We start from the raw sequence: 27,785 nt of genomic DNA on the forward strand, positions 1-27,785 counted from the left end.
ATTTTATTATTATTATACTTTAAGTTCTAGGGTACGTGTGCACAACGTGCAGCTTTGTTACATATGTATCCATGTGCCATGTTGGTGTGCTGCACCCATTAACTCGTCATTTAGCATTAGGTATGTCTCCTAATGCTGTCCCTCCCCCCTCCCCCCACCCCACAACAGTCCCCGGTGTGTGATGTTCCCCTTCCTGTGTCCATGTGTTCTCATGGTTCAATTCCCACCTATGAGTGAGAACATGCGGTGTTTGGTTTTTTGTCCTTGCGATAGTTTGCTCAGAATGATGGTTTCCAGCTTCAACCCTGTCCCTACAAAGGACATGAACTCATCATGTTTTATGGCTGCATAGTATTCCATGGTGTATATGTGCCACATTTTCTTAATCCAGTCTATCGTTGTTGGACATTTAGGTTGGTTCCAAGTCTTTGCTATTGTGAATAGTGCCATTATAAACATATGTGTGCATGTGTCTTTATAGCAGCATGATTTATAATCTTCTTTTTTTTTTGAGACACAGTCTCGCTCTGTCGCCGGGCTGGAGTGCAGTGGCAGCATCTCGGCTCACTGCAAGCTCCGCCTCCCGGGTTCAATTGATTCTCCTGCCTCAGCTTCCCAAGTAGCTGGGACTGCAGGTGCACGCCACCACACCCAGCTAATTTTTGTATTTTTAGTAGAGATGGGGTTTCACCATGTTGGCCAGGCTGGTCTTGATCTCTTGACCTCATGATCCGCCTGCCTCGGTCTCCCAAAGTGCTGGGATTACAGGCGTGAGCCACCGCGCCCAGCCAATGATCTCTTCTTTATCAATTACCCAACCTCAGGTATTCCTTTCCAGCAACATGAATGGACTAAGACAGCTCCTGCAGGAATGGGGAGGCTAAGACGGTAGAGGTGCAGCCTGGTCAGCCATCTTTCACCTTTGCTGATGTTGCTATCCAGGTGTTTTCCATTGCATGTGCATGAAGCCCTATGCTTTGTTTAGGCGCCAACTGTTAGTATCGTAACACATGTCCAGTCTGTTTGGTTGTTTTTTTTGAGACGGAGTTTTGCTCTTGTTGCCCAGGCTGGAGGGCAATGGCACCATCTCAGCTCACTGCAACCTCCATCTCCTGGGTTCAAGGGATTCTCCTGCCTCAGCCTCCTGAGTAGCTGGGATTACAGGCACTCGCCACCACGCCTGGCTAATTTTTGTATTTTTTTTTTTTTAGTGAGCCACTGCCCCTGGCCTGCGTGATGTTTCTTATGATTTTGTAGACAGCACAAAAGGCATCTGTATTTGTGTGTGTGCAAGTGTCTGTGCAGGTGTGTGTACACCAATATGCTTGTGCAGAGGCGTGTGCAGATGTGTGTGTAGTTGTGTGTATGGATAGGTGCACTGTGTGCAGGTGTGTGGGGATGTGTGTGTGCAGGTCTGTGTGTGCAGACATGCACGTGTATGCAGGTGTGTGTGTGTGTACAGATGTGTGTGCAGGTGTGTGTGCAGATGTGTGTGTAGTTGTGTGTATGCACATGTGCATTGTGTGCAGGTGTGTGGGGATGTGTGTGTGCAGGTCTGTGTGTGCAGACATGCATGTGTATGGAGGTGTGTGTACAGACGTGCGTGTAGGTGTGTGTGCATGTGTGTGTGTGCAGATGTGTGTATGCACATGTGCACTGTGTGCAGGTGTGTGAGGATGTGTGTGTGCAGGTCTGTGTGTGCAGACATGCGTGTGTGTGCAGGTCTGTGTGTGCAGACATGCATGTGTATGCAGGTGTGTGTGTGTACAGATGTGTGTGCAGGTGTGTGTTTGCAGATGTGTGTGCAGATGTGCATGTGTCCTTGTGTATATGCACATGTGCACTGTGTGCAGGTGTGTGTGTGTACAGATATGTGTGCAGGTGTGTGTGCAGATGTGCTTGTGTACAGATGTGTGTGTGTAGTTCTATGTACGCCCATGTGCACTGTGTGCAGGTGTGTGGGGATGTGTGTGTGCAGGTCTGTGTGTGCAGTTGTGTGTGCAGACATGCATGTGTGTGCAGGTGTGTGTGCAGGTGTGCGTGTGTAGACAAGTGTGTGTGTGCCATTGTGCTTGTTTGTGCAGACGTACGTGCAGGTGTGTGTGCAGATGTGTGTGTGTAGCTGTGTGTACACACATGTGCCCTGTGTGCAGGTGTGTGGGGATGTGTGCGCACGTCTGTGTGTGCAGACATGCATGTGCCTGCAGGAAAGTGGGGATGTGTGAGTGTGCAGGTCTGTGTGTGCAGATGTGTTTGCAGACGTATGTGTGTGCAGGTGTGTGTGCAGGACTGTGCCAGTGTGCTTGTTTGTGCAGATGTGTGTGCAGATGTGTGTGTAGCTGTGTGTACGCCCGTGTGCACTGTGTGCAGGTGTGTGGGGATGTGTGTGCAGTTGTGTGTGCAGACATGCATGTGTGTGCAGGTGTGTGCGCAGATGTGTGTGTAGTTGTGTGTATGCACATGTGCATTGTGTGCAGGTGTGTGGGGATGTGTGTGCAGGTCTGTGTGTGCAGATGTGTGTGCAAACATGCATGTGTGTGCAGGTGTGTGTGCAGATGTGCGTGTGTAGACAAGTGTGTGTGCCATTGTGCTTGTTTGTGCAGACGTACGTGCAGGTGTGTGTGCAGATGTGTGTGTGTAGCTGTGTGTACACACATGTGCCCTGTGTGCAGGTGTGTGGGGATGTGTGCGCACGTCTGTGTGTGCAGACATGCATGTGCCTGCAGGAAAGTGGGGATGTGTGAGTGTGCAGGTCTGTGTGTGCAGATGTGTGTGCAGACATGTATGTGTGTGCAGGTGTGTGTGCAGGACTGTGCCAGTGTGCTTGTTTGTGCAGATGTGTGTGCAGATATGTGTGTAGCTGTGTGTATGCCCATGTGCACTGTGTGCAGGTGTGTGGGGATGTGTGTGTGCAGGTCTGTGTGTGCAGTTGTGTGTGCAGACATGCATATGTGTGCAGGTGTGTGTGCAGATGTGTGTGTAGCTGTGTGTACGCCCGTGCGCACTGTGTGCAGGTGTGTGGAGATGTGTGTGTGTGCAGGTCTGTGTGTGCAGGTGTGTGTGCAAACATGCACACGCGTGCAAGCATGTGTGCAGGAGTGTGTGTGCACGTGTGTGCGGGCGTGTGGGAATGTGTGCGTGTGCAGGTCTGTGTGTGCAGATGTGTGTGCAGACATACATGTGTGTGCAGGTGTGTGTGTGTAGATGTGTGTGGGACTCACACTTGAGCTGTTCCACGGGCCAGTCTTTGGAGACGAGGTCAGGAGCCAATGAACTCACGGAGCAATTACAGGTTTCCCAATCCTATGAAATGAGGAAGCAGGGGAGGGAGGGGCAGGGAGTGTATGATGACACAGAGGAACTCTGAAGGGAGCTACTCAGAAGCGGGAGTCTCCGAGAGAAGAAAAGCAGGTGGAAGGAGAGGAAGCGGATGCCGTGGGGGTAAGCTAAGTTCTTTCCTTCTGTGGTCTTTGAGCATGTCGAGTCACCCGGGTACATGTTTCTGCTGTGTCTGTCGATAGAAAAGAAAGAGACTGAACTGGAACATAAGATTTCAAACGTTGGCTCGAGCCGAAGTGGGGACAGCGGCCCAGAAGACTGAGAGCCAAGGAACCTTGCATATGAGTTGTCTTCTGCCTTTGTTATATGCAGGTTTTTAAAGGCAAAATTAAAAAAATAAAATAAAATAAAAAGAGGGAGGTGTTGTTGGAGGACAGGGAGGGGGCTTCTGTGAAGCTGTTTGCTGGGAATTCTCGTTGGTTTACAGAAAAAAACAATTGATTAATGATTGGCTGTACATTGCTAAGCTACAGGGCGTTGGGGTGTAGTATCTAGCACGGAATTATCACGTGAATTCACAGCTATCTGTGGCATCCGGAAGCCGTTTCGAGAGATGAACGCGGCCGGGCGTGGTGGCTCACGCCTGTAATCCCAGCACTTTGGGAGACTGAGGCGGGTGGATCACCTGAGGTCGACAGTTCGAGACCATCCTGGCCAACATGGAGAAACCCCGTCTCTACTAAAAATACAAAATTAGCCGGGCATGGTGGTGGCAGGCACCTGTAATCCCACCTACTCAGGAGGCTGAGGCAGGAGAATCGTTTGAACCCGGGAGGCGGAGCTTGCAGTGAGCTGAGATTGCACCACTGCACTCCAGCCTGGGCAACAAGACGAGATTCTGTCTCAAAAAAAAGAAAAAGAAAAAAAAAGAGATGAAAAGAGATGAACGCAGAGCTGAAAGGGGGAGGGAGTGTGATGGTGTTACTAGTTACTAGAAAGGGGTCCTGATCCAGACTTCAAGAACGGGTTCTGGGATCTTGCCCAAGAAAGAACTGGAGGCAAGTTCACATTGCAAACTGAAAGCAAGCTTATTAAGATAGTAAAGGGGGGCCGGGCACGGTGGCTCATGCCTGTAATCCCAACACTTTTGGAGGCTGAGGCGGGCGGATCACCTGAGCTCAGGAGTTCGAGATCAGCTTGGCCAACATGGCAAAACCACACCTTTATTAAAAATAGAAAAAATTAGCTAGGTGTGGCAGTGTGTGCCTGTAATCCCAGCTACTTGGGAGGCTGAGGCAGGAGAATCGCTTGAACCCGGGAGGCGGAGGTTGCAGTGAGCCCAGATTGCACCGTTGCACTCCAGCCTGGGCAACAAGAGCAAAACTCTGTCCCCAAAAAAAGATAACTAAAAGAAAAAAGTCGTGGGGAGAGATGCTCCACTACAAGGGTGACTGATAAAGGATTCATCTTTGTCATGACTATCTTTTGCAGTAATCAATATTGTATATATACATATTATATATTTTTTATTATTATTATTTTGAGATCATCTGGCTGTGTCATCCAGGCTGGAGGGCAGTGGTGCAATCACAGCTGACTGCTGTCTTGAATTCCTGGGCTCAAGCAATCCTCCCATCTCGGCCTCCCGAGTAGCTGGGTCAAAGGCAAATGCCACCATTCCTGGCAAATATTTGTATTTTTGTAGGGACGAGGGTTTCACTGTGTTTCCCGGGCTGGTCTTGAACTCCTAGACTCAATCTATCTTCCTGCCCCAGCCTCCCAAAGTGGTGGGATGACAGGTGTGGGCCACCGCGCCTGGCCCAATATTATCATTTTTAAAGCAAAACGGATTCTCACACTATGAAAGCTTTTGTTCTGAAGATATCAACACATCAGGAGGTTTCTGTGTCTGTTCAGTCCTCGGTCTGTTTAGTAAACAGTATTGATCTGTTCACATATCTTGCGTCAGGAATGGCTGACCTCCAGGGAATGCTGCCCAGCCTGTCCCAGCCTCCCTGTTCCCAGCCCCTATTCTAGATGGAGTCCCTCTAAGCTGGGCGTGGTGTAATCCCAGGACTTTGGGAGGCTGAGGTGGGCGGATCACCTGAGGTCAGGAGTTCGAGACCAGCCTGGCCAACAGGGTGAAACCCCATCTCTACTAAAAATACCCAAAATTAGCCGGGGCGTGGTGGCGGGCGCCTGTAATCCCAATATTTTGGAAGGCTGAGGTGACAGAGGATTGCTTGAGGCCACAGCAATTCCAGACCAGCCCGGGGCAACATCGTAAGATTCCCCCATCCCTCGTGTATAAAAAAAAGATTAAATTATTACAAATTTTAAAAAAGACAGAAATGAAGCATCTTAAGTTACCACCCAGATTGGGGTACTAAGAGTCTGGATTTGGACAGCTTGTTGCGCGTTTTATAGGTGTGCTAAATCACATTTCACTCTTTTTGTTGAGACAGAGTCTCGTGCTGTCGCCCAGGCTGGAGGGCAGTGGCGCGATCTCTGCTCACCGCAACCTCCGCCTCCTGGGTTCAAGCAATTCTCCTGCCTCAGCCTCCTGAGTAGCTGGGATTACAGGCACCTGCCACCACGCCCGGCTAATTTTTGTATTTTTTTTTTTTTTTTTTTTTTTTGGAGACAGCGTCTTGCTCTGTCGCCCAGGCTGGAGTGCAGTGGTGCAATCTCCGCTCACTGCAACCTCCACCTCCCGGGTTCAAGCAATTCTCCTGCATTAGCCTCCTGAGTAGCTAGGATTACAGGCACGTGCCACCATGCCCAGCTAATTTTTGAATTTATTTATTTATTTTTTTGGAGACAGTATCTTGCTCTGTTGCCCAGGCTGGAGTGCAGTGGTGCGATCTCGGCTCACTGTAACCTCCGCCTCCCGGGTTCAAGTGATTCTCCTGCCTCAGCCTCCTGGGTAGCTGGGATTACAGGTGTGTGCTACCATGCCCGGCTAATTTTTGTATTTTTAGTAGGGATGGTGTTTCACCATGTTGGCCAGGCTGGTCTGGAACTCCTGACTTCAAATGATCCGCTCACCTTGACCTCCCAAAGGGCTGGGATTACAGACATGAACCACGGAGCCCGGCCGGATTTCACTCTTTAGATTTTTGGTTTAAACTCGAGAAGCTCTTCTCGAGGGCTGAAAGCTCTTGGTCCCCTGTAGGTTTGCTGTAGATGACAGACATGAGGCAGATTGATTAATAAGAGAAAAGACATGCACTTTTTTTTTCTTTTTTTTTTTTGAGACGGAGTCTCGCTCTGTCACCGAGGCTGGAGTGCACTGGCATGATCTCGGCTCACTGCAACCTCCACCTTCCAGGTTCAACTGATTCTCCTGCCTCAGCCTCTCCAGTAGCTGGGATTACAGGCGTGTGCTACCATGCCTGGCTAATTTTTCTATTTTTAGTAGAGACAGGGTTGTTCCATATTGGTCAGGCTGGTCTCGAACACCTGACCTCAGGTGATCCGCCTGCCTCGGCCTCCCAGTGTGCTAGGATTACAGGCGTGAACCACTGTACCCAGCCAGATTTACACATTTATAGAATGTGTATACACAAGATTCTTCAGAATGAGGACTCCACCCCACAATGAGGTTCAGAAGCTAGTACACCACATTGAGACTACAGAAGGATAGGGGATTGGATCCTGGTACAAAAAAAAAAAGGTTATAGGGTTGGGGGGAAAGAGGAATTCTATTGAGGAGCAATATATAATTTCTACTGCGGACTGAACTCTGATTTTTTTCTTTATTTTATTTTATTTTATTTTATTTTTTTGAGACAGCATCTCACTCTGCCGCCCAGGCTGGAGTGCAGTGGTGCGATCTCAGCTCACTGCAACCTCCACCTCCTGGGTTCACCCGATTTTCCTGCCTCAGCCTCCCGAGTAGCTGCGATTACAGGCACCCGCCACTACGCCCAGCTAATTTTCTTTGTATTTTTAGTAGAGACGGGGTTTCACCATGTTGGCCAGGCTGGTCTTGAACTCCTGACCTCAGGTGATCCAACCTCCTCGGCCTCCCAAAGTGCTGGGATTATACGCATGAGCCACTGCACCTAGCTTCTTCTTTTTCTTTTTTTTTTTCTTTCTTTTTTTCTTTTTTTTTTTTAGATGGAGTCTAACTTTGTCGCCCAGACTGGAGTACAGTGGCACAATCTCAGCTCACCACAGCCTCCACCTCCCAAGGTCAAGCAATTCTCCTGCCTCAGCCTCCCAAGTAGCTGAGATTACAGGCACGTACCACTACTGCCTGAGTAATTTTTGTGTTTTTAGTAGAGACAACATTTCACCAGGTTGGCCAGGCTGGTCTCGAACTCCTGACCTCAAGTGATCCACACGCCTCAGCCTCCCAAAGTGCTAGGATTATAGGCACCAGCCACCACACCGGGCCTCTGACTTTTTTTATCTTGCCCAAATTCCTATCTAAGAGGTCTGAGGAGGCAAGCCCTACAAACCATAAATTCTCATCAAATGGGATTTATTGAACCCTGTATATCGTGACTTACTTTCCAACCTGACTCTGGCAAACGTTACAAGACAGAGAAAAAAAACAACATATGTTGCCCCAAAATATGTTTCTTAGTTGTATTTTTTTTTTCTTTTAAGATGGTCTCATTCTGTTTCCAAGGCTGGAGTGCAGTGGTGCAATCTTGGCTCCCTGCAACCTCCGTCTTCTAGGTTCAAGCGATTCTCCTGCCTCCTCAGCCTTCCAAATAGCTGGCGTAATATGCATGAGCCATCGTGCCCAGATAATTGTTTTTTGTTTTTTGTTTTTTTTTTAGTAGAGATGGGGTTTCACTGTGATGGCCAGGCTGGTCTTGAACTCCTGACCTCAGGTGATCCAACCGCCTCGGCCTCCCAAAGTGCTGGGATTATAGGCGTGAACCACTGCTCCCGGCTGGAGTACAGGGGCATAATCTTGGCTCACTGCAGCCTCTGCTTCCCAGGTTCAAGTGATTCTCCTGCCTCAGTCTCCCGAGTAGCTGGGACTACAGGCGCCCGCCACCACGCCCAGCTAATTTTTTTTTTTTTTTTTGTATTTTTTTTTTTTAGTAGAGATGGGGTTTCACTGTGTTTGCCAGGATGGTCTCGATCTCCTGGCCTCATGATCTGCCCGCCTCGGCCTCCCGAAGTGCTGGGATGACAGGCGTGAGTCACCGCGCCCGGCATGAAAGGGTTTTTCATTAAAAATCCTTGTTATACCGTGGAGCCCTGTGTTGGGGTAAAATATCATGATTTCCCTCACTCTCCATCATTCTTGCTTTGAATCTGAGAAGGAAGCTTGGCGGCCTCTATTTTAGGATCAGCCGAAAATTTCCAGAAAGGGGAAAGAAAACTCATTCTGTAAACACAAAAAAGAAGAAGAGAAAAAAGTATAAGCGGTACAGACAAAACGCAAAGATGTTGCATAATTTTCCGTGAGTGCAAAATGTCCTGTAAACCAAAAAAGAGGTATCTGAGACAGGTCTCAGTCCATTTAGAAAGTTCATTTTGCCGAGGTTAAGGACGCCTGCCCATGACAGAGCCTCAGGAAATCGCGATGACAGGTGCTGTGGATACACAGGGCACAATTTGCTTTCATACATTTTTTTGGCGGGGAGGGAGCTGGGGATCCAGTCTTGTTCTGTCACCCAGGCTGCAGTGCAATGGTGCAATCTCAGCTCACTATCACTGTAACCTCCGCCTCCCGTGTTCAAGCTATTCTCCTGCCACAGCCTTCTGAGTAGCTGGGATTATAGGCACCCACTACCGCGCCCAGCTAATTTTTGTATTTTTAGTAGAGACGGGGTTTCACCATGTTGGCCAGGATGGTCTCGAACTCCTGGCCTCAAATGATCCACCTGCCTCGGCCTCCCAAAGTGCTGGGATTATAGGCGTGAGCCATGGCGCCCAGCCCTGGTATGTAATTTTTAAAACCTTTGTAGTACCTTATTTACGAATAAAATGCGAGGCAGGTTTGCCTAAGACAGTTTCCACTATAACCTTTCATGATTTTGGGGTCCTGAGACTTATTTACCTTTCACAGTTTACAGCAGGAAAATCCGTGGAGACAGCAGATCCGAGAAGCGGCGATGTTTGCGTAGAACCCTGTACGTGCTTCCTTCGGCCTGTCGGTAATGTGGTTGGGGATTTTCTTTTTTTTAAGTGAAGTCTAAAGAACTGAAATGTTTTGCTCCATAATGATGAACCAGGATAGAAGTGAGAACTCAGGGCAGAAGAATCTGAATGAGGAACTGTCTGACCTATGACAAATTTAACATGTCACGTTCCCTCTGAGACAGTACACATCCTCCTGAAGCAGCGTGACAAGGCACATCCTCCTGAAGGGTCTCCAGGCAGAAGAGACGCATGAACCTGTCAAAAAAAAAAAAAAAAAGAGCCGGCCGGGCGCAGTGGCTCAAGCCTGTAATCCCAGCACTGTGGGAGGCTGAGGCGGGGGGATCATGAGGTCAGGAGTTCCAGACCAGCCTGGCCAACATGGTGAAACCCCATCTCTGCTAAAAATACAAAAATTAGCCGGGTGTAGTGGCAGTTGCCTCTAGTCCCAGCTACTCCGGAGGCCGAGGCAGGAGAATCGCTTGAACCCAGGAGGCGTAGGTTGCAGTGAGCCAAGATCGCGCCACTGCACTCCAGCCTGGGCAACAGAGCGACAGTCCGTCCCAAACACTGCAAAATATTTAAAGAGATTTATTCTGAGCCAAATATGAGTGAGCAAGAAGGCCCAGGGAAAATAGTCTAAAGAGATCCTGAGAACACGTATCCAAGCTGGTTGAGCGGCAGTTTGGTTTTATATGTTTTTGTTTGTTTACTTATTTTACTTTATTTTATTTATTTATTTATTTATTTTGAGATGAAGCCTTGCTCAGTCTGTTAGGCTGGAGTGCAGTGGCGCGATCTCGGCTCACTGCAACCTCCGCCTCCCGGGTTCACGCCATTCTCCTGCCTCAGCCTCCCGAGTAGCTGGGACTACAGGCGCCCACCACCATGCCCAGCTAATTTTTTGTATTTTTAGTAGAGAAGGGGTTTCACCGTGTTAGCCAGGATGGTCTCGATCTCCTGACTTCGTGATCCGCCCGCCTCAGCCTCCCAAAGTGTTGGGATTACAGGCACCCGCCACCACGCCCGGCCAATTTTTGTATTTTTAGTAGCGACGGGGTTTCACCATGTTGGCCAGGCTGGTCTCAAACTTGTGACCTCACATGATCTGCTCACCTCGGCCTCCCAAAGTGCTGGGATTACAGGCGTAAGCCACAGCGTCCAGCTATTTTATTTTATTTGTTTTATTTTTTGTGACAGAGTCTCACTCTGTCGCCCAGGCTGGAGTGCAGTGGAGCGATCTCAGCTCACTGCAACCTCTGCCTCCGGAGCTGAAGCAATTCTCCCGCCTCAGCCTCCCAAGTAGCTGGCATTACAGAGGTACGCCACCACGCCTGGCTAAATTTTGTTTGTTTGTTTGTTTGTTTGTTTGTTTGTTTTTGTTTTTCAGTAGACACAGGGTTTCACTATGTTGGCCAGGCTGGTCTCGAACTCCTGACCTCACATGATCTGCCTGCCTCAGCCTCCAGAAGTACTGGGATTACAGCCGTGAGCCACCTCACCCAGCCAGCAGCTTGGTTTTATGTTTGTTTATATATTTATTTATTTATTTATTTTTAATTTTTGGAGACGGAGTCTTGCTCTGTTGCCTGGGCTGGAGTGCAGTGGCATGATCTTGGCTCACGGCAACCTCTGCCTTTCGAGTTCCAGTGATTCTCCTGCCTCAGCCTCGCGAGTAGCTGGGAGTACAGGCGCCCGCCATCACACCCGGCTAGTATTTGTATTTTTAGTAGAGAGAGGGTTTCACCGTATTGTCCAGGCTGGTCTTGAACTCCTGTCCTCAAGTGATCCACCCACCTGAGCCTCTCAAAGTGCTGGGATTGCAGGCGTGAGCCTCTGTGGCCAGCCAACAGACAGTTTTGCAGGACCATTTCAAAATATGTCAAGTAAATATATTTTGGGGTGAAATGTATTTTAAAGTGGCATATACTGATTTCCCACAGTCTTGTCTGGGGAGGCATATCCTGGCCTCCTAGAAAGCATACACAGTAGCAGACAGGTGTGGTGGCTCACGCCTGCAATCCCAGCCCTTTGGGAGGCCGAGGCAGGTGGATCACAAGGTCAGGAGATCGAGACCATCCTGGCCAACATGGTGAAATGCTATCTCTACTAAAAATACAAAAATTAGCTGGGCGTGGTGGTGCATGCCTGTAATCCCAGCTACTCGAGAGGCTGAGGCAGGAGGACCACTTGAACCTGGCAGGTGGAGGTTGCAGTGAGCTGAGATCACGCCACTGCACTCCAGCCTGGGAGACAGAGCGAGGCTCCGTCTCTAAATAAATAAATAAAGCTTACGCAGTAGCTGAGAAGACAGGGAAAAGAGGTGAAGAAATGACAGAAAGCTTAGAAGTCGCTCATTATAACCCCTTCCTACCCCATCTCATGCTTCCCTTAAAGCATAAACGAAGGGTGCTTGTGTTACAGGAAAGGGGTTCGGATCCAGCCCCCAAGAGGGGGTTCTTGGATCTCACGCAAGAAAGAATTCAGGGCGGCCGGGCGCTGTGGCTCACACCTGTAATCCCAGCACCTTGGGAGGCAGAGGCGGGCGGATCACGAGGTCAGGAGTTCGAGACCAGCCTGACCAACATGGTGAAACCCCATCTCTACTAAAAATACAAAAATTAGCCAGGTGTGGTGGTGCGTGCCTGTAGTCCCAGCTACTCGGGAGACAGAGGCAAGAGAATGGCGTGAACCCGGGAGGCGATGCTTGCAGTGAGTGGAGATCATGCCACTACACTCCAGCCTGGGCGATAGAGTAAGTCCATCTCAAAAAAAAAAAAAAAAAAAAAAAATTCGGGGTGAGTCAGCAGTGCAAAGCCAAAGCAAATTTATTACAAAAGTAAAACAGTGAAAGAATAGCTACTCCAGAGGCCGGGCGCAGTGGCTCATGCCTGTAATCCCAGCACTTTGGGAGGTGGAGGTGGGCAGATCACCTGAGGTCAGGAGTTCGAGACCAGCCTGACCAACATGGTGAAACCCCATCTCTACTAAAAATACAAAAATTAGCCAGGCATGGTGGTGCGTGCCTGTAGTCCCAGCTACTCGGGAGGCTGAGGCAGTAGAATTGCTTCAACTTGGGAGACGGAGGTTGCAGTGAGCCGAGATGGCACCACTGCACTCCAGCCTGGGCAACAGAATGAGACTCAGTCTCAAAAAAAAAAAAAAAAATTTCAGGGCGAGCAAGTTTATTATGAAAGTAAAATAGTGAAAGACTAGGTACTCCAGAGGCCAGGCGCAGTGGCTCATGCCTATAATCCCAGCACTTTGGGAGCCCGAGGCAGGTGGATCACCTGAGGTCAGGAGTTCGAGACCAGCCTCGCCAACATGGTGAAACCCCATCTCTACTAAAAATACAAAAATTAGCCAGGCATGGTGGTGCGTGCCTGTAGTCCCAGCTACTTGGAGGCTGAGGCAGTAGAATTGCTTCAACTTGGGAGACGGAGGTTGCAGTGAGCCAAGATGGCACCACTGCACTCCAGCCTGGGCGACAGAATGAGACTCAGTCTCAAAAAAACAAAAGATTTCAGGGCGAGCAAGTTTATTATGAAAGTAAAGTAGTGGAAGACTAGCTACTCCAGAGGCCAGGTGCAGTGGCTCATGCCTATAATCCCAGCACTTTGGGAGCCCGAGGCAGGTGGATCACCTGAGGTCAGGATTTCGAGACCAGCCTCGCCAACATGGTGAAACCCCATCTCTACTAAAAATACAAAAATTAGCCAGGCGTGTTGGTGCGTGCCTGTAGTCCCAGCTACTCGGAGGCTGAGGCAGTAGAATTGCTTCAACTTGGGAGACGGAGGTTGCAGTGAGCCGAGATGGCACCACTGCACTCCAGCCTGGGTGACAGAATGAGACTCAGTCTAAAAAAAAAAAAAATTCAGGGCAAGCAAGTTTATTATGAAAGTAAAATAGTGAAAGACTAGGTAATCCAGAGGCTGGGTGCAGTGGCTCATGCCTATAATCCCAGCACTTTGGGAGCCCAAGGCATGTGGATCACCTGAGGTCAGAAGTTCGAGACCAGCCTGGCCAACATGGTGAAACCCCATCTCTACTAAAAATACAAAAATTAGCCAGGCGTGTTGGTGCGTGCCTGTAGTCCCAGCTACTCGGAGGCTGAGGCAGTAGAATCACTTGAACCTAGGAGACAGAGGTTGCAGTGAGCCGAGATGGCGCCACTGTACTCCAGCCTGGGCGACAGAGTGAGACTCCATCTCCAAAAAATAAATAAATAAGTCAACCAAGAAGGCCGTACGTACAGTGGCTCACACCTGTCATCCCATCACTTTGGGAGGCCGAGGCAGGGGGATTACTTGAGATCAGGAGTTTGAGACCAGCCTGGCCAACATGGTGAAACCCCGTCTCTACTAAAAATACAAAAATTAGCCAGGCGTGTTGGTGCGTGCCTGTAGTCCCAGCTACTCGGAGGCTGAGGCAGTAGAATGGCTTCAACTTGGGAGACGGAGGTTGCAGTGAGCCGAGATGGCACCACTGCACTCCAGCCTGGGCGACAGAGCAAGACCGTCTACAAAATAATAATAATAATTAATAATAATAATAATAACTAGTGCAAGAGAAGTACACAAATATCCCAAACATTTAGTGACTCAGCAGAGGGGGCCAGTCTCAAGGAACAGGACTTCTACACCTGTTACCACCACCTGGGGAGTTGTATCTGAATCTCAAGGTCAGGCCCACCCAGACAGAACATGCATCTCTAGGGTGCCACAGGAGAGTCTGTCCAGTGCCCAGAAACACCTGCAAGACCCAGAAGCAGGCTCCAAGAAGCGGGGTGCCACAGTCCAGTGGGGGAAGCGGCCACATCCCTGTCATGTGGGCTACAGATGAGTTGGGGGGCAGGGGCAGGAGAAGAAGAAACAGGTGTGGCCTACATGCTTTTACTTCCTCTTAGCAAGCGAGGTTCCTCTTGCAGAGGAACGGTCTGAGAGACACAACCGTTTTTTTTTTTTGTTTGTTTGCTTTTCCTTGAGACAGAGTCTCCCTCTGTCACCCAGGCTGGAGGGCAGTGGCGCGATCTCGGCTCACTGCAGCCTCCACCTCCTGGGTTCAAGCGATTCTCCTGCCTCAACCTCCCGAGTAGCTGGGATTACAGGCACCCACCACCCCACCCGGCTAATTTTTGTATTTCTAGTATAGATGAGGTTTCACCGTATTAGCCAAGCTGGTCCCGAACTCCTGACCTCAGGCGATCCGCCTGCCTTGGCCTCCCAAAGTGCTGGGATTACAGGCGTGAGCCACTGTGCCCGGCCGAGAGACGCAATCTTTCAGAGAGGAGGTTTGGAGCAGGAACCTCAGGGTGGACAGATGGGTCCCACCAGGTGCAGATGCTTGAACTAAAGATGCTACAAAGGCCGGGTGCAGTGGTTCATGCCTGTAATTCCAGCAGTTTGAGAAGCTGAGGCAGGCAGATCATCTGAGGTCAGGAGTTCGAGCCCAGCCTGGCCAACATGGCAAAACAGCGTCTCTACTAAAAATGCAAAATTAGCCTGGCATAATGGCGGGCGCCTATAATCCCAGCTACTTGGGAGGCCGAGGCAGGAGAATCGCTTGAACCCGGGAGGCGGAGGTTGCAGTGAGCCAAGATTGCACCACTGCACTCCAGCCTGGGTGACAAGAGTGAAACTCCGTCTCAAAAAAAAAAAAAAAAAAAGAAGAAGAAGAAAAGAAATACATTAGTTTGGTCCATAAAGGCGGGACAACTCAAAGTGGGGGCTTCCAGGCTATAAATGAATTTAAACATTTTCTGGTTGACAATTGGTTGAGTTTGTAGCTCCTCCTCCTTCTCTTCTTCCTCCTCCTTCTCCCCCCTTCCTCCTCTTCCTCCTCTTCCTCCTCCTCCTTCTTCTTCTCTTCTTTCTTCTTCTTCTCTTTCCCCTTCTTCTTCTTCTTCCTCCTCCTTCTCCTCCTCCTTTTTCTTCTTCTTCCTTATGGGCTTGGATAGAAGTATATTGACATGGATCCACCATTTGTAGAATCATACCGAGTAGCTTCTTTTCTCCTCCTTCCTCTCCTTCTCCTCCTCCTCCTCCTCCTTCTCCTGCTCCTTCTCCTCCTCCTCCTCCTGCTCCTTCTCCTCCTCCTCCTCCTTCTCCTCCTCCTCCTCCTGCTTCTCCTCCTCCTCCTTCTCCTCCTCCTGCTTCTCCTCCTCCTCCTTCTCCTCCTCCTCCTTCTCCTCCTCCTCCTTCTCCTCCTCCTCATTCTCCTCCTGCTCCCCTTCTCCTCCTCCTTCTCCTCCTCCTCCTTCTCCTCCTGCTCCCCTTCTCCTCCTCCTTCTCCTCCTCCTCCTCCTCCTGCTCCTCCTCCTCCAGCTCCCCTTCTCCTCCTACTCCTCCTTCTCCTCCTTCTCCTTCTCCTCCTTCTCCTACTCCTCCTTCTCCTACTCCTCCTTCTCCTACTCCTCCTTCTCCTCTTCCTTCTTCTCCTCCTCCTGCTCCTTCTCCTCCTCTTCCTCCTACTCCTCCTTCTCTTCCTTCTCCTCCTCCTCCTTCTCCTCCTCCTCCTTCTCCTCTTCCTCCTTCTCCTCCTCCTCCTTCTCCTCCTCCTCCCTCTCCTCCTCCTCCGCCTTCTCCTACTCCTCCTTCTCCTCCTCCTTCTTCTCCTCCTCCTGCTCCTTCTCCTCCTCCTCCTTCTCCTCCTGCTCCTTCTCCTCCTCTTCCTCCTACTCCTCCTTCTCTTCCTTCTCCTCCTCCTCCTTCTCCTCCTCCTGCACCTTTCCTCCTCCTCCTTCTTTTTCCTTTTTTGCATAAAGAAGTATCAAATAAGAGTAGTTTCACTGCCCTAAACATCCTCTGAGGTCCATGTATTCATCCCTCCATCTGCCCAACGCCAACCAACTCCGGATCTTTTTACTGTTTCCATGATTTTGTCTTTTCCACAGTGTCCAAGTGTTAGAATGACTCAGTCTGCAGCCATCTCAAAGTGGATTCTTTCCCTTAGTCATAAGTATTTAAACTTCATTCATGTCGTTTTATGTACTCACCCTTTTTTTCTTCCTCTTCTTTTTTTTTTTTTTTTCACTTTCCTTTTATAGCTGTTGCAAAAGTCAAGATTTTTTAAAAAATATAAAAGAGCAGGGCCGGGCACGGTGGCTCACGCCTGTAATCCCAGCACTTTGGGAGGCCGAGGCAGGTGGATCACGAGGTCAGGAGATGGAGACCATCCTGGCTAACACGGTGAAAGCCTGTTTCTACTAAAAAAAAAAAAAAAAAAAAAAAATTAGCTGGGTGTGGTGGCAGGCGCCTGTAGTCCCAGCTACTTGGGAAGCTGAGGCAGGAGAATGGTGTGAACCTGGGATGTGGAGGTTGCAGTGAGCCGAGATCGCGCCACTGCACTCCAGCCTGGGTGACAGAGCGTGACTTTGTCTCAAAAAAGAAAAAAAAAGTACAAAAGAGCAAAACAAAACAAAAGTTATGAAAATGAAAACCTGAGCCATCGTTTATCTTATTTCCCCAAATCCACTAATTATTAACAGAAAGTAAAAGCTATGAAAAATGAATGAAAGTGACTGCAATTTCCTTGAAGTGTGTTAGAACCTGCCTTTAGTGTCAGCTATGGGTTCCCTCATGAAGGTCAGCTGAGCCATGACCCATGAACCATGGAAGCTTGACTCTAGATTGACCATCTTGAGATGCCAAAGATGTCCACGTCCTAATCCCATGTGGGAGACAGAATAATGGCCCTGCAGACCTTCCCAGCTGGCCATGACCCCTCATTTGACCAGGTCAGCGGCTGACCACCATCCTGGGTTTGTTTCCCCAAATCACCTCCCTGGGGTCCCCTGCCAGGAATGTCCTGGGAGAGGCAACCTTCTCACTGTGTGATATTTTCTCTCCTGCAGCTCTTCCCTTCTCTCTGACCAGCACCATGCTTCTCCTGGTGACAAGCCTTCTGCTCTGTGAGTTACCACACCCAGCATTCCTCCTGATCCCAGAGAAATCGGGTAAGTATGGAAACCTGGCTGAACCTTCTCCGCGGCCCCTGTTTAGATGTCCTGCATCTGGAGACCCATCTGGATACCTGGGTCCATCTGCATTTCATCTCTAATGTTTATGAGGGACCCAATAAGCACCAGCCAACCCACCAGAAGCTCAGAGCTCCTCTTGTTCTCACCTCCTTTTCTGCTGTTAATTCCCATCCACCCATTCTACAGATGAGAAAACGGAGGCTCAGATACCTCCACAGTTTAACCCAACGACCATCCAGGTAGTGATGGGGCCAGGATGAGGACCCATGTCTGCATGGGGCCAAAGTGTTCCTTCCTTCCTTCGTTCCTTCGTTCCTTCGTTCCTTCCTTCCTTCCTTCCTTCCTTCCTTCGTTCCTTCCTTCGTTCCTTCCTTCCTTCCTTCCTTCCTTCCCTCCCTTGCTTCCTTCTCTTCCTCCTGCCCTCCCTCTTTCCATCCTTCCTTCTCTCCTTCCTTCCATCCTTCTCTCCCTCCTGATTCATTTCTTCTCTTTCTTTCTCTTCCTTCCTTCCCTCCTTCCCTTTCTCTCTTTCTTCCTTCCATTGTTTCCTTCTTTCCTTCCTTCTTCCGTCCCTCCCTTCTTTCTTTCTCTTTCTTCCTTCCCTCCTTCCCTCTCTCTCTTTCTTCCTTCCATTGTTTTTCTTTCTTTCCTTCCTTCCCTCCCTCCCTCCCTCTCTCTCTCTCTTTCTTTCTTTCTTTCTCCTTTTTTTTTCTCCTTCTTTGTTTCTTTCTTCCTCTTTCTTCTTTCTTTCTTTCTTTCTTTCCTTCTTTCTTTTTCTTTCTTTTCAGAGTCTCCCTCTTGTTGCCCAGGCTGGAGTGCAATGGCTCAATCTCAGCTCACTGCAAACTCAGCCTCCCGGGTTCAAGCGATTCTCCTGCCTCAGCCTCCCGAGTAGCTGGGATTACAGGCGCCTGCCACCAGGCCCAGCTAATTTTTTTGTATTTTTAGTAGAGATGGGGTTTTGTCATGTTGGCCAGGCTGGTCTCAATCTCCTGGCCTCAGGTGATCCCGTGCCTCGGCCTCCCAAAGTGCTAGGATTACAGCTATGAGCCGCCACACCCAGCCTCTTGTTTGTTGACTTCTTAATAGCAGCCATTGTGACTGGCGTGGAATGATAGCTCATTGTGGTTTTGATTTGCGTTTCCGGGAGGGACCCTCTTGACTGAGGGTGTCAGGGCCTCTGCTTCAGGAAAGTATTTCCAGGTTTTTGTGACCTGGTTCAGGGAAGACAGACAAAGACAGCTTTCTGTTTCTGCAATTTTCTCAAATTCCTTCAGCTTTATATTAAACTGCCAAGGTTCCATAATTTGGGAAGTGTGTTCAGAGCCACATCACTCTGGATAAAGAGCCTTTGCCTGTTCTCATTCAAGCGGTTTTCTTTCTCTGTCTCTCTTTTTTTTTTTTTTTTTTTTTTTTTTGAGACAGGATCTCGCTCTGTCTCCCAGGCTGGAGTGCAGTGGCGTGATCTCGGCTCACTGCAGCCTCAGCTTTCTGGGATCAAGTATCCTCCCACTCCAGCCTCCCAAGTAGCTGGGACTGCAGAAATACACCACCATGCCAAGCTAATTTAAATTTTTTTTTTAATTTTATAGAGGAGATCTTGCTATGTTGCCAAGACTAGTTTTTGATTTTTTTTTTTTTTTGAGATGGAGTCTTACTCTGTCACCCAGGCTGGAGTGCAGTGGCGCGATCTCGGCTCACTGCAGCCTCAGCTTTCTGGGATCAAGTATCCTCCCACTCCAGCCTCCCAAGTAGCTGGGACTGCAGAAATACACCACCATGCCAAGCTAATTTAAATTTTTTTTTTTTTAAATTTTATAGACGAGATCTTGCTATGTTGCCAAGACTAGTTTTTGATTTTTTTTTTTTTTTTTTTTTTGAGATGGAGTCTTACTCTGTCTCCCAGGCTGGAGTGCAGTGGCGCGATCTCGGCTCATTGCAACCTCCACCTCCCGGGTTCAACCGATTCTCCTGCCTCAGCCTCCTGAGTAGCTGGGATTACAGGTACCCGCCACCATGTCCACCTAATTTTTTTGTATTTTTAGTAGAGACAGGGTTTCACCACATTGGCCAGGCTGGTCTCGAACTGCTGACCTCAGGTGATCCGCCCACCTCAGCCTACCAAAGTGCTGGGATTGCAGGCATGAGCCACCGCGCCTGGCCAGTTTTTGATGATTTCTGCAGTAAACATCTCCATGTGGAGAAGGAGCAAGCTGGGACCACAGATGTGCACCATCACACCTGCCTAATTTAAATTTTTAAAAAAAAATTTTTTTTAAAGAGATGCGATCTTGCTATGTTGCCCAGGCGGGATCTGAACCTACTGGGCTCAAGTCAGCTTTTTGCCTCAGCCTCCCAAGGTGCTGGGATTAGAGGCGTGAGCCACCACCCCCAGTCTTCAGATGATTTTTGAATATTTCTGCAGTAGAAATCTCCTTTTTCAGAAACAGCCAGGGGGCTGTGAAAAGGAGGGAAGATGGACAAGGGAGGAACAGATACCTGAGGATGTGGGACGTCCTGGGGCCATGTGGGTGACAGAGGAAAATCAGCAGGCTTCAGCCCTGAACTTCACCTCCCAGAGCCGGGTGGGAGGACAGAAAACAGGGCCGGCCGGGCACGGTGGCTCACGCCTGTTATCCCAGCACTTCGGGAGGCTGAGGCAGGCGGATCACCTGAGGTCGGCAGTTCGAGACCAGCCTGACCAACATGGTGAAACCCCCATCTCTACTAAAAATACAAAAATTAGCTGGGCATGGTGGTCGGCGCCTGTCATCCCAGCTACTCGGGAGGCTGAGGCAGGAGAATCATTTGAACCCGGGTGGTGGAGCTTGCAGCTTGCAGTGACCTGAGATCACAGCACTGCACTCCAGCCTGGGAGACAAAGCCAGACTCCGTCTCAAAAAAAAAAAAAAAAAAAAAAAAAAAAAAGGAAAAGAAAAGAGGAAATTCTGAACCCAGTGCCCGCTCCTTGCAGATCTGCGAACAGTGGCACCAGCCTCTAGTCTCAATGTGAGGTTTGACTCCAGGACGATGAATTTAAGCTGGGACTGCCAAGAAAACACAACCTTCAGCAAGTGTTTCTTAACTGACAAGAAGAACAGAGTCGTGGAACCCAGGGTGAGACGAATTTCCCATTCTCAACCCCTGTCCTTTACACACCCCTTTCTGAGTTAAAAGCAACAGGGCCGGCTGGGCGCGGCGGCTCACGCCTGTCATCCCAGCACTTTGGGAGGCTGAGGTGGGCGGATCACCTGAGGTCGGGAGTTCAAGACCAGCCTGACCAACATGGTGAAACCCCGTCTCTACTACAAATACAAAATTAGCCGGGCGTGCTGGTGCATGCCTGTAGTCCCAGCTACTCAGGAGGCTGAGGGCAGAAGAATTACTCGAACCCGGGAGGTGGAAGTTGCAGTGAGTCGAGCTCGTGCCATTGCACTCCAGCCTGGGTGACAGAGCGAGACTCTGTCTCATAAAATGCAATAAGGCCGGGTGTGGTGGCTCACGCTTGTCATCCCAGCACTCTGGGAGGCCGAGGCAGGTGGATCACCTGAGGTCAGGAGTTCAAGACCAGGCTGACCAACATGGTGAAACCCCATCTCTACTAAAAATACAAAAATTAGTCGGGCATGGTGGCAGGCATCTGTAATCCCAGCTACTCGGGAGGCTGAGGCAGGAGAATTACTGAAACTCGGGAGGCGGAGGTTGCGGTGAGCCGAGATGGTGCCATTGCACTCCAGCCTGGGCAACAAGAGCAAAACTCTGTCTCCAAAAAAAAAAAAAAATAATAAATTCAATTAAATAAAAGCGAGAGGGCCACAGACACAAACAACACAAGTGTGGTATTTGGAGAAATGTCACAGCCATAATCTCACGGGAACCGGGAAAGTGCTGTTAGCTCATGTCCACAATGTGTACCAGAGCCTGATTCCCTGAGGCAGAGCCTATGTTACCGTATTTTACCCCAAGAGAAGAGAAATCCTGGCAAATGCAGTTGGATGTGCCCCTGGGTCTGTGGTGGAAGCAGGACGGAGAAAAGTAAAGTGTCAGTCACGTTGTCAGTGTGTCACCGTCCTGGTTCCCCAAGGGATTAAGGTCAGGGTTTTTGGAACACAGGAGACAGAGACAGAAGAGCGGGGAGAGGGGAGGGAAGGAGGGAGAAACACAGAGAAAGGATAGAAGGAGGAGGGAGAGGAAGAGAGAAATATGGATGATCGATAGATAGGTGATAGATGATTTATTGACTGATAGGTGATAATAGATGATTGGAAGATTGATAATCAATTCTATAGGTAGATGCTACACGGAGGGATGGGTGGTCTTGCTATGTTACCCCAGATGACATACTTTTTTTTTTTTTTTTTTTTTTTGAGATGGAGTTTCCCTCTTGTTGCCCAGGCTGGAGTACACTGGTGTGATCTTGGCTCACTGCAACCTCCACCTCCTGGGTTCAAGCGATTCTCCTATCTCAGCCTCCTGAGTAGCTGGGATTACAGGTGCGTGCCACCACGCCTGGCTAATTTTTGTATTTTTAGTAGAGACGGGGTTTCACCATGTTGGCCAGGCTGGTCTCCAACTCCTGACCTCGTGATCCACCCTCCTTGGCCTCCCAAAGTGCTGGCATTACAGGTGTGAGCCACCGTGTCCGACCTTTATTTTTTGGGATGGAGTCTCGCTCTGTCGCCCAGGCTGGAGTGCACTGGCGTGATCTCAGCTCCCTGCAACCTGTGCCTCCTGGGTTCAAGAGATTCTCCTGCCTCAGCCTCCTGAGTAGCTGGGATTACAGGTGCCCACCACCACACCTGGCTAATTTTTGTATTTTTAGTAGAGACGGGGTTTCACCATGTTGGCCAGGCTGATCTTGAACTCCTGACCTCAAGTGATCCACCCGCCTCGGCCTCCCAGAGTGCTGGCATTACAGGTGTGAGCCACTATGTCCGACCCTTTTTTTGGGGGGATGGAGTCTCTGTCTGTCACCCAGGCTGGAGTGCACTGGCGTGATCTCAGCTCACTGCAACCTGTGCCTCCTGGGTTCAAGAGAGTCTCCTGCCTCAGCCTCCCGAGTAGCAGGGATTACAGGTGCCTGCCACCACACCTGGCTAATTTTTGTATTTTTAGTAGAGACGGGGTTTCACCATGTTGGCCAGGCTGGTCTTGAACTCCTGACCTCAAGTGATCCACCCGCCTTGGCCTCCCAGAGTGCTGGGATTACAGGTGTGAGCCACGGCACCTGGCCTCTAGTCTGGTACTTTCAGCACTGCTAGAGTATAAGATTGAGTTTTCACCTGCAAGCTGGTATTCAGCGTATCCACTCAGAGCCCTCGGAGGAAGCTTAGGGGGATGATTTCACAAAGGGAGGCAGGTGCGTGTCGCCAAATCCAGGTAAAAACCAATACCATGGCCGGGCATGGTGGCTCACGCCTGTAATCCCAGCACTTTGGGAGGCCGAGGCGGGTGGATCACCTGAGGTCAGGAGTTTGAGACCAGCCTGGCCAACATGGTGAAACCCTGTCTCTACTACAAATACACAAATTAGCAGGGTGTGGTGGCGGGTGTCTGTAATCCGAGCTACTCGGGAGGCTGAGGCGGGAGAATTGCTTGAACCTGGAAGGCGGAGGTTGTAGTGAGCCGAGATCACGCCACTGCACTCCAGCCTGGGAGACTGTAGGAGACAGAAGGTTGTTTCCTAATCGGCTCTGTCTGGTTGCAATTCTTCAGCTCAGTAACAACGAATGTTCGTGCACATTTCGTGAAATTTGTCTGCATGAAGGAGTCACATTTGAGGTTCACGTGAATACTAGTCAAAGAGGATTTCAACAGAAACTGCTTTATCCAAATTCAGGTAAGCAAGACAGCTCAGGGATCCGTTTACAGCACTGGCCCCACCACCCCGCCAGCATCAAAGTACATCCCGTTGAACTTCGGAGTGAAAATTATTTTGTTTCTACCTCTTCCCAGGAAGGGAGGGTACCGCTGCTCAGAATTTCTCCTGTTTCATCTACAATGCGGATTTAATGAACTGTACCTGGGCGAGGGGTCCGACGGCCCCCCGTGACGTCCAGTATTTTTTGTACATACGAAACTCAAAGTAAGTGTTCACCTCATGTGAAGAATTATGAGGAATGCAGGGATGGGAGAAAAAATCATGCTGGTTTTCTTTTTTTCCTTTTTCTTTTTTTAAGACATGGTCTTGCTCTGTTGCCCAGGCTGCAATGCAATGGTGCCACCTCGGCTCACTGCAACCTCGACCTCCTGGGTTCAAGCAATTTTCCTGCCTCAGCTTCCCAGGTAGCTGGGATTACAGGCGCCCGCCACCACACCAGGCCACATCTATGTATTTAGAGACAGAGTCTTGCTCTGTCGCCCAGGCTGGAGTGTAGTGATGTGATCTCAGCTCCCTGCAACCTGCGCCTCCCTCCAGGGTTCAAGTGATTCTCCTGCCTCAGCCTCCCAAGTAGCTGGGACTACAGGTGCACTCCACCACACCTGTCTAATTTTTGTATTTTTAGTAGAGACAGGGTTTCACCATGCTGGCCAGGCTGGTCTCCAACTCCTGACCTCAAGTGATCTGCCTGCCTCAACCTCCCCAAAGTGCTGGGATTACAGGCGTGAGCCACTGCACCTGGCCTGTTTTTTTGGTTGTTGTTTTGTTTTGTGTTTTTTGTTTTGTTTTGTGTTTCTTTTTGTTTTGCCTTGTGTTTTTGTGTTCTTGTTTTGTTTTGTGTTTCTGTGTTTTTCTTTTGTTTTTGTGTTTTTTTGGTTTCACGTTTTTGTGGTGTTTTGTGTTTTTGTGTTTTTGTTTTTTGTGTTTGTTTTTGTTTTGTTTTGTGTTTTGTTTTGTGTTTGTTTTTGTTTTGTTTTGTGGTTTTTGTTTTGTGTTGTGTTTGTTTTTGTTTTGTGTTTTTTTGTTTGTGTTTTGGTGTTTTTGTTTTGTGGTTTTCTTTTGTGTTTGTTTTTGTTTTGTGTTTTTGTGTTTTTGTTTCATTTTGTTTTGTTTTGTGTTTTTGTGTTTTGTTTTGTTTTGTGTTTGTTTTTGTTTTGTTTTGTGTTTTTGTGTTTTTGTTTTGTGTTTTGTGTTTTTGTGTTTTGTTTTGTTTTGTGTTTTTGTGTTTTGTTTTTGTGTTTTGTTTTGTTTTGTGTTTTTGTGTTTTGTTTTGTGTTTGTTTTTGTTTTGTTTTGTGTTTTTGTGTTTTTGTTTTGTGTTTTGTGTTTTGTTTTGTGTTTTTGTGTTTTGTTTTGTTTTGTGTTTTTGTTTTGTTTTGTGTTTTTGATTTGTGTTTTTGTGTTTTGTTTTGTGTTTGTTTTTGTTTTGTGTTTTGTGTTTTTATGTTTTGTTTTGTGTTTGTTTTCGTTTTGTTTTGTGTTTTTGTTTTGTGTTTTGTGTTTTTGTGGGTTTTTTTTGTTTTGTGTTTTTGTTTTGTGTTTTTGTGTTTTGTGTTTTTGTGTTTTGTTTTGTGTTTGTTTTTGTTTTGTTTTGTGTTTTTGTGTTTTGTTTTGTTTTCCTGATTGCTCTCTGAGCACTTTCTAATCTTTCAGGAGAAGGAGGGAGATCCGGTGTCCTTATTACATACAAGACTCAGGAACCCATGTGGGATGTCACCTGGATAACCTGTCAGGATTAACGTCTCGCAATTACTTTCTGGTTAACGGAACCAGCCGAGAAATTGGCATCCAATTCTTTGATTCACTTTTGGACACAAAGAAAATAGGTGAGAATAACACATATGATTTTCCTATTGTTTATAGGTGAAATGGAATTTGCCTTAAAATCTGTGTAACTGAGGCCACGTGCGGTGTCTCACACCTGTAATCTCAGCACTTTGGGAGGCCGAGGCGGGCCGATCACCTGAGATCGGGTGTTCAAAACCAGCCTGACCAACATGGGGAAACCCCATCTCTACTAAAAATACAAAAATTAGCCGGGCATGGTGGCGCGTGCCTGTAATCCCAGCTACTCGGAAGGCTGAGGAGAATCACTCAAACCTAGGAGGCGGACGTTGCAATGAGGTGAGATTGTGCCACTGCACTCCAGCTTGAGCGACAGAGCAAGACTCTGTCTCAAAAACAAACAAACAAAAATCTGTGTAACTTTGGTGCTGTAACAAATTAGAACTGAGCTGATTTAACTTTCCTTTTTTTGAGATAGAGTCTCGCTCTGTCACCCAGGCTGGAGTGCAGTGGTGCAATCTCAGCTCACTGCAACCTCTGCCTCCCAGGTTCAAGCGATTCTTCTGTCTTAGTCTCCTTAGTAGCTTGGATTACAGGTGCACACCACCACGCTCGGCTAATTTTTGTATTTTTAGTAGAGGCAGTGTTTCACCATCTTGGCCGGGCTAGTCTCGAACTCCTGACCTCAGATGATCCACCTGCCTCAGCCTCCCAAAGTGCTGGGATTACAGGCGTCAGCCACTGCACCTGACCTCCCTCTTTACCTCCTTCCTTCTTTCCTTCCTCCCTGCCTTTCTGCCTTTCTTCTTTTTTCTTCCTTCCTTCCTTCCTTCCCTCCCTCCCTCCTTTCCTTCCTTCCTTCCTCCTTCCCTCCCTTCTTCCTTCCCTCCCTCCCTCTCTCCCTCCCTTCTTCATTCCTTCCTTCTTCCTCTCCTTCCTTCTCCTTCACTCATTTCCTCCTTCCTTCCTCTTTTTCTTCATTTCTTCCTCACCAGCACCTCTTCGTGTCCCAGTGCCCTGCTCCTGGCTGGCCTCTTGGAGCCAGTCCCATATGCCCACACGCTCTCCTCTTCCCAAGCCCACCGCATCCCACCCGTGGACTCCTTCATCCCGTTGGACGTTCCCAGCCTCTTCAGGCTTAGGACTCTCACAGAAGTGTGACTCCTGCCCACCAAGCCCATCCCCACCTCCCACCCTGGAACCCCTGCCCCAGTGGGTATCTCTCCTGTACATGGTAGCTGCCCCACCTCCACTTGGACCCAGTGTAGACAGGAGGAGACCCTGTACCACCTCCACCTGGACCCAGTGTAGACAAAGAGGTGTCCCTACTCCACGTCCACCTGGATCCAGTGTAGACAGGAGGAGACTGCACCACCTCCACCTGGACCCAGTGTAGTCAAAGAGATGTCCCTACTCCACGTCCACCTGGACCCAGTGTAGACAGGAGGAGACCCTGTACCACCTCCACTTTACCCAGTGTAGACAGAAGGAGACCCTGCACCACCTCCACCTGGACCCAGTGTAGACAAAGAGGTGTCCCTACTCCACATTTACCTGGACACAGTGTAGACAGGAGGAGACTGCACCACCTCCACTTGGACCCAGTGTAGACAGGAGACCCTGCACCACCTCCACCTGGACCCAGTGTAGACAAAGAGGTGTCCCTACTCCACGTCCACCTGGACCCAGTGTAGACAGGAGGAGACTGCACCACCTCCACCTGGACCCAGTGTAGACAAAGAGGTGTCCCTACTCCACATTTACGTGGACACAGTGTAGACAGGAGGAGACCCTGCCCCACCTCTACCTGGACCCAGTGTGAAGGCGACCAGCCCTTCCACACATGTGGGTATTTCTCGTCAGGTGGGACGAGAGACTGAGAAAAGAAATAAGACACAGAGACAAAGTATAGAGAAAGAACAGTGAGCCCAGGGGACCGGCGCTCAGCATACGGAGGACCTGCACCGGTCTCTGAGTTCTCTCAGTATTTATTGCTTACTATTTTCACTATCTTGGCAAGGGGAATGTGGCAGGAGGACAGGGTGATAGTGGGGAGAAGGTCAGCAGGAAGACATATGAGCAAAGGAATCTGTGTCACAAATAAGTTCAAGGGAAGCTACTATGCCTGGATGCACACGCAGGCCAGATTTATGCTTCTCTCCACACAAACATCAGTGTAGCAAAGAGTCACAGAGCAGTATTGCCACCAGCATATCTCGCCTCCAGCCACAGGGCGGTTTTCTCCTGTCTCAGAATAGAACGAATGTACGATCGGGTTTTACACGGAGACATTCCATTCCCAGGGGCAGGCAGGAGACGGAGGGCTTCCTCTTATCTCAACCGCGAGAGGACTTCCTCCTCGGCACAGACCCTTTATGGATGTCGGGCTGGGGGACGGTCAGGTCTTTTTCCCTTCCCACGAGGCCATATCTCAGACTGTCTCAGTGGGGGGAACCCTCAGACAATACCCGGGCTCTCTCGGGCAGAGGTCCCTGCGGCTTTCCGCAGTGCATGGTGTCCCTGGTTAATAGAGAATGGAGAATGGCGATGACTTTTACCAAGCATGCTGCCTGCAAACCTATTGTTAACAAGACACAGCACATGTTTCTGTGAGCACAGTGTTGGGGCTACAGTTACAGCTTAACAGCATCTCAAGGCAAAACAGTGGTTCAACATACAGATCACAATGGAGTTTCTTACCTTCCTTTCTACATAGACACAGTAACAGTCTGATCTTTCTTTTTGTTTGTTTGTT

At 49.1% G+C, this 27,785-nt stretch overlaps 1 protein-coding gene across 38 annotated transcripts in view; it reads left to right on the forward strand.

The window, feature by feature from the left end:
- CSF2RA (colony stimulating factor 2 receptor subunit alpha) overlaps positions 3,376–27,785 on the forward strand; it is a 56,405-nt gene continuing 31,995 nt past the window's right edge. For 11 of the 38 annotated variants that reach the window (NR_027760.3, NM_001379163.1, NM_001379164.1 and 8 more), the window contains exons 1-7: positions 3,376–3,441; positions 9,317–9,404; positions 17,240–17,341; positions 20,340–20,482; positions 23,081–23,204; positions 23,321–23,450; positions 24,899–25,071. Coding sequence is in view for 37 of the 38 variants with exons in the window: in NM_001379163.1 (NP_001366092.1) it covers positions 17,266–17,341; positions 20,340–20,482; positions 23,081–23,204; positions 23,321–23,450; positions 24,899–25,071 (646 nt within the window). In the remaining variant the exon portion in view is untranslated. Of the gene's footprint in view, positions 3,442–7,401; positions 7,524–9,316; positions 9,405–16,797; positions 17,123–17,239; positions 17,342–17,364; positions 17,605–20,339; positions 20,483–23,080; positions 23,205–23,320; positions 23,451–24,898; positions 25,072–27,785 lie in introns of those variants that run through there. The other 27 variants (NM_001379159.1, XM_047442716.1, NM_001379165.1 and 24 more) reach the window with 8 other exon arrangements.

This window comes from Homo sapiens, chromosome Y (genome assembly GCF_000001405.40).
Source record: "Homo sapiens chromosome Y, GRCh38.p14 Primary Assembly".
Lineage (NCBI taxonomy): Eukaryota > Metazoa > Chordata > Mammalia > Primates > Hominidae > Homo > Homo sapiens.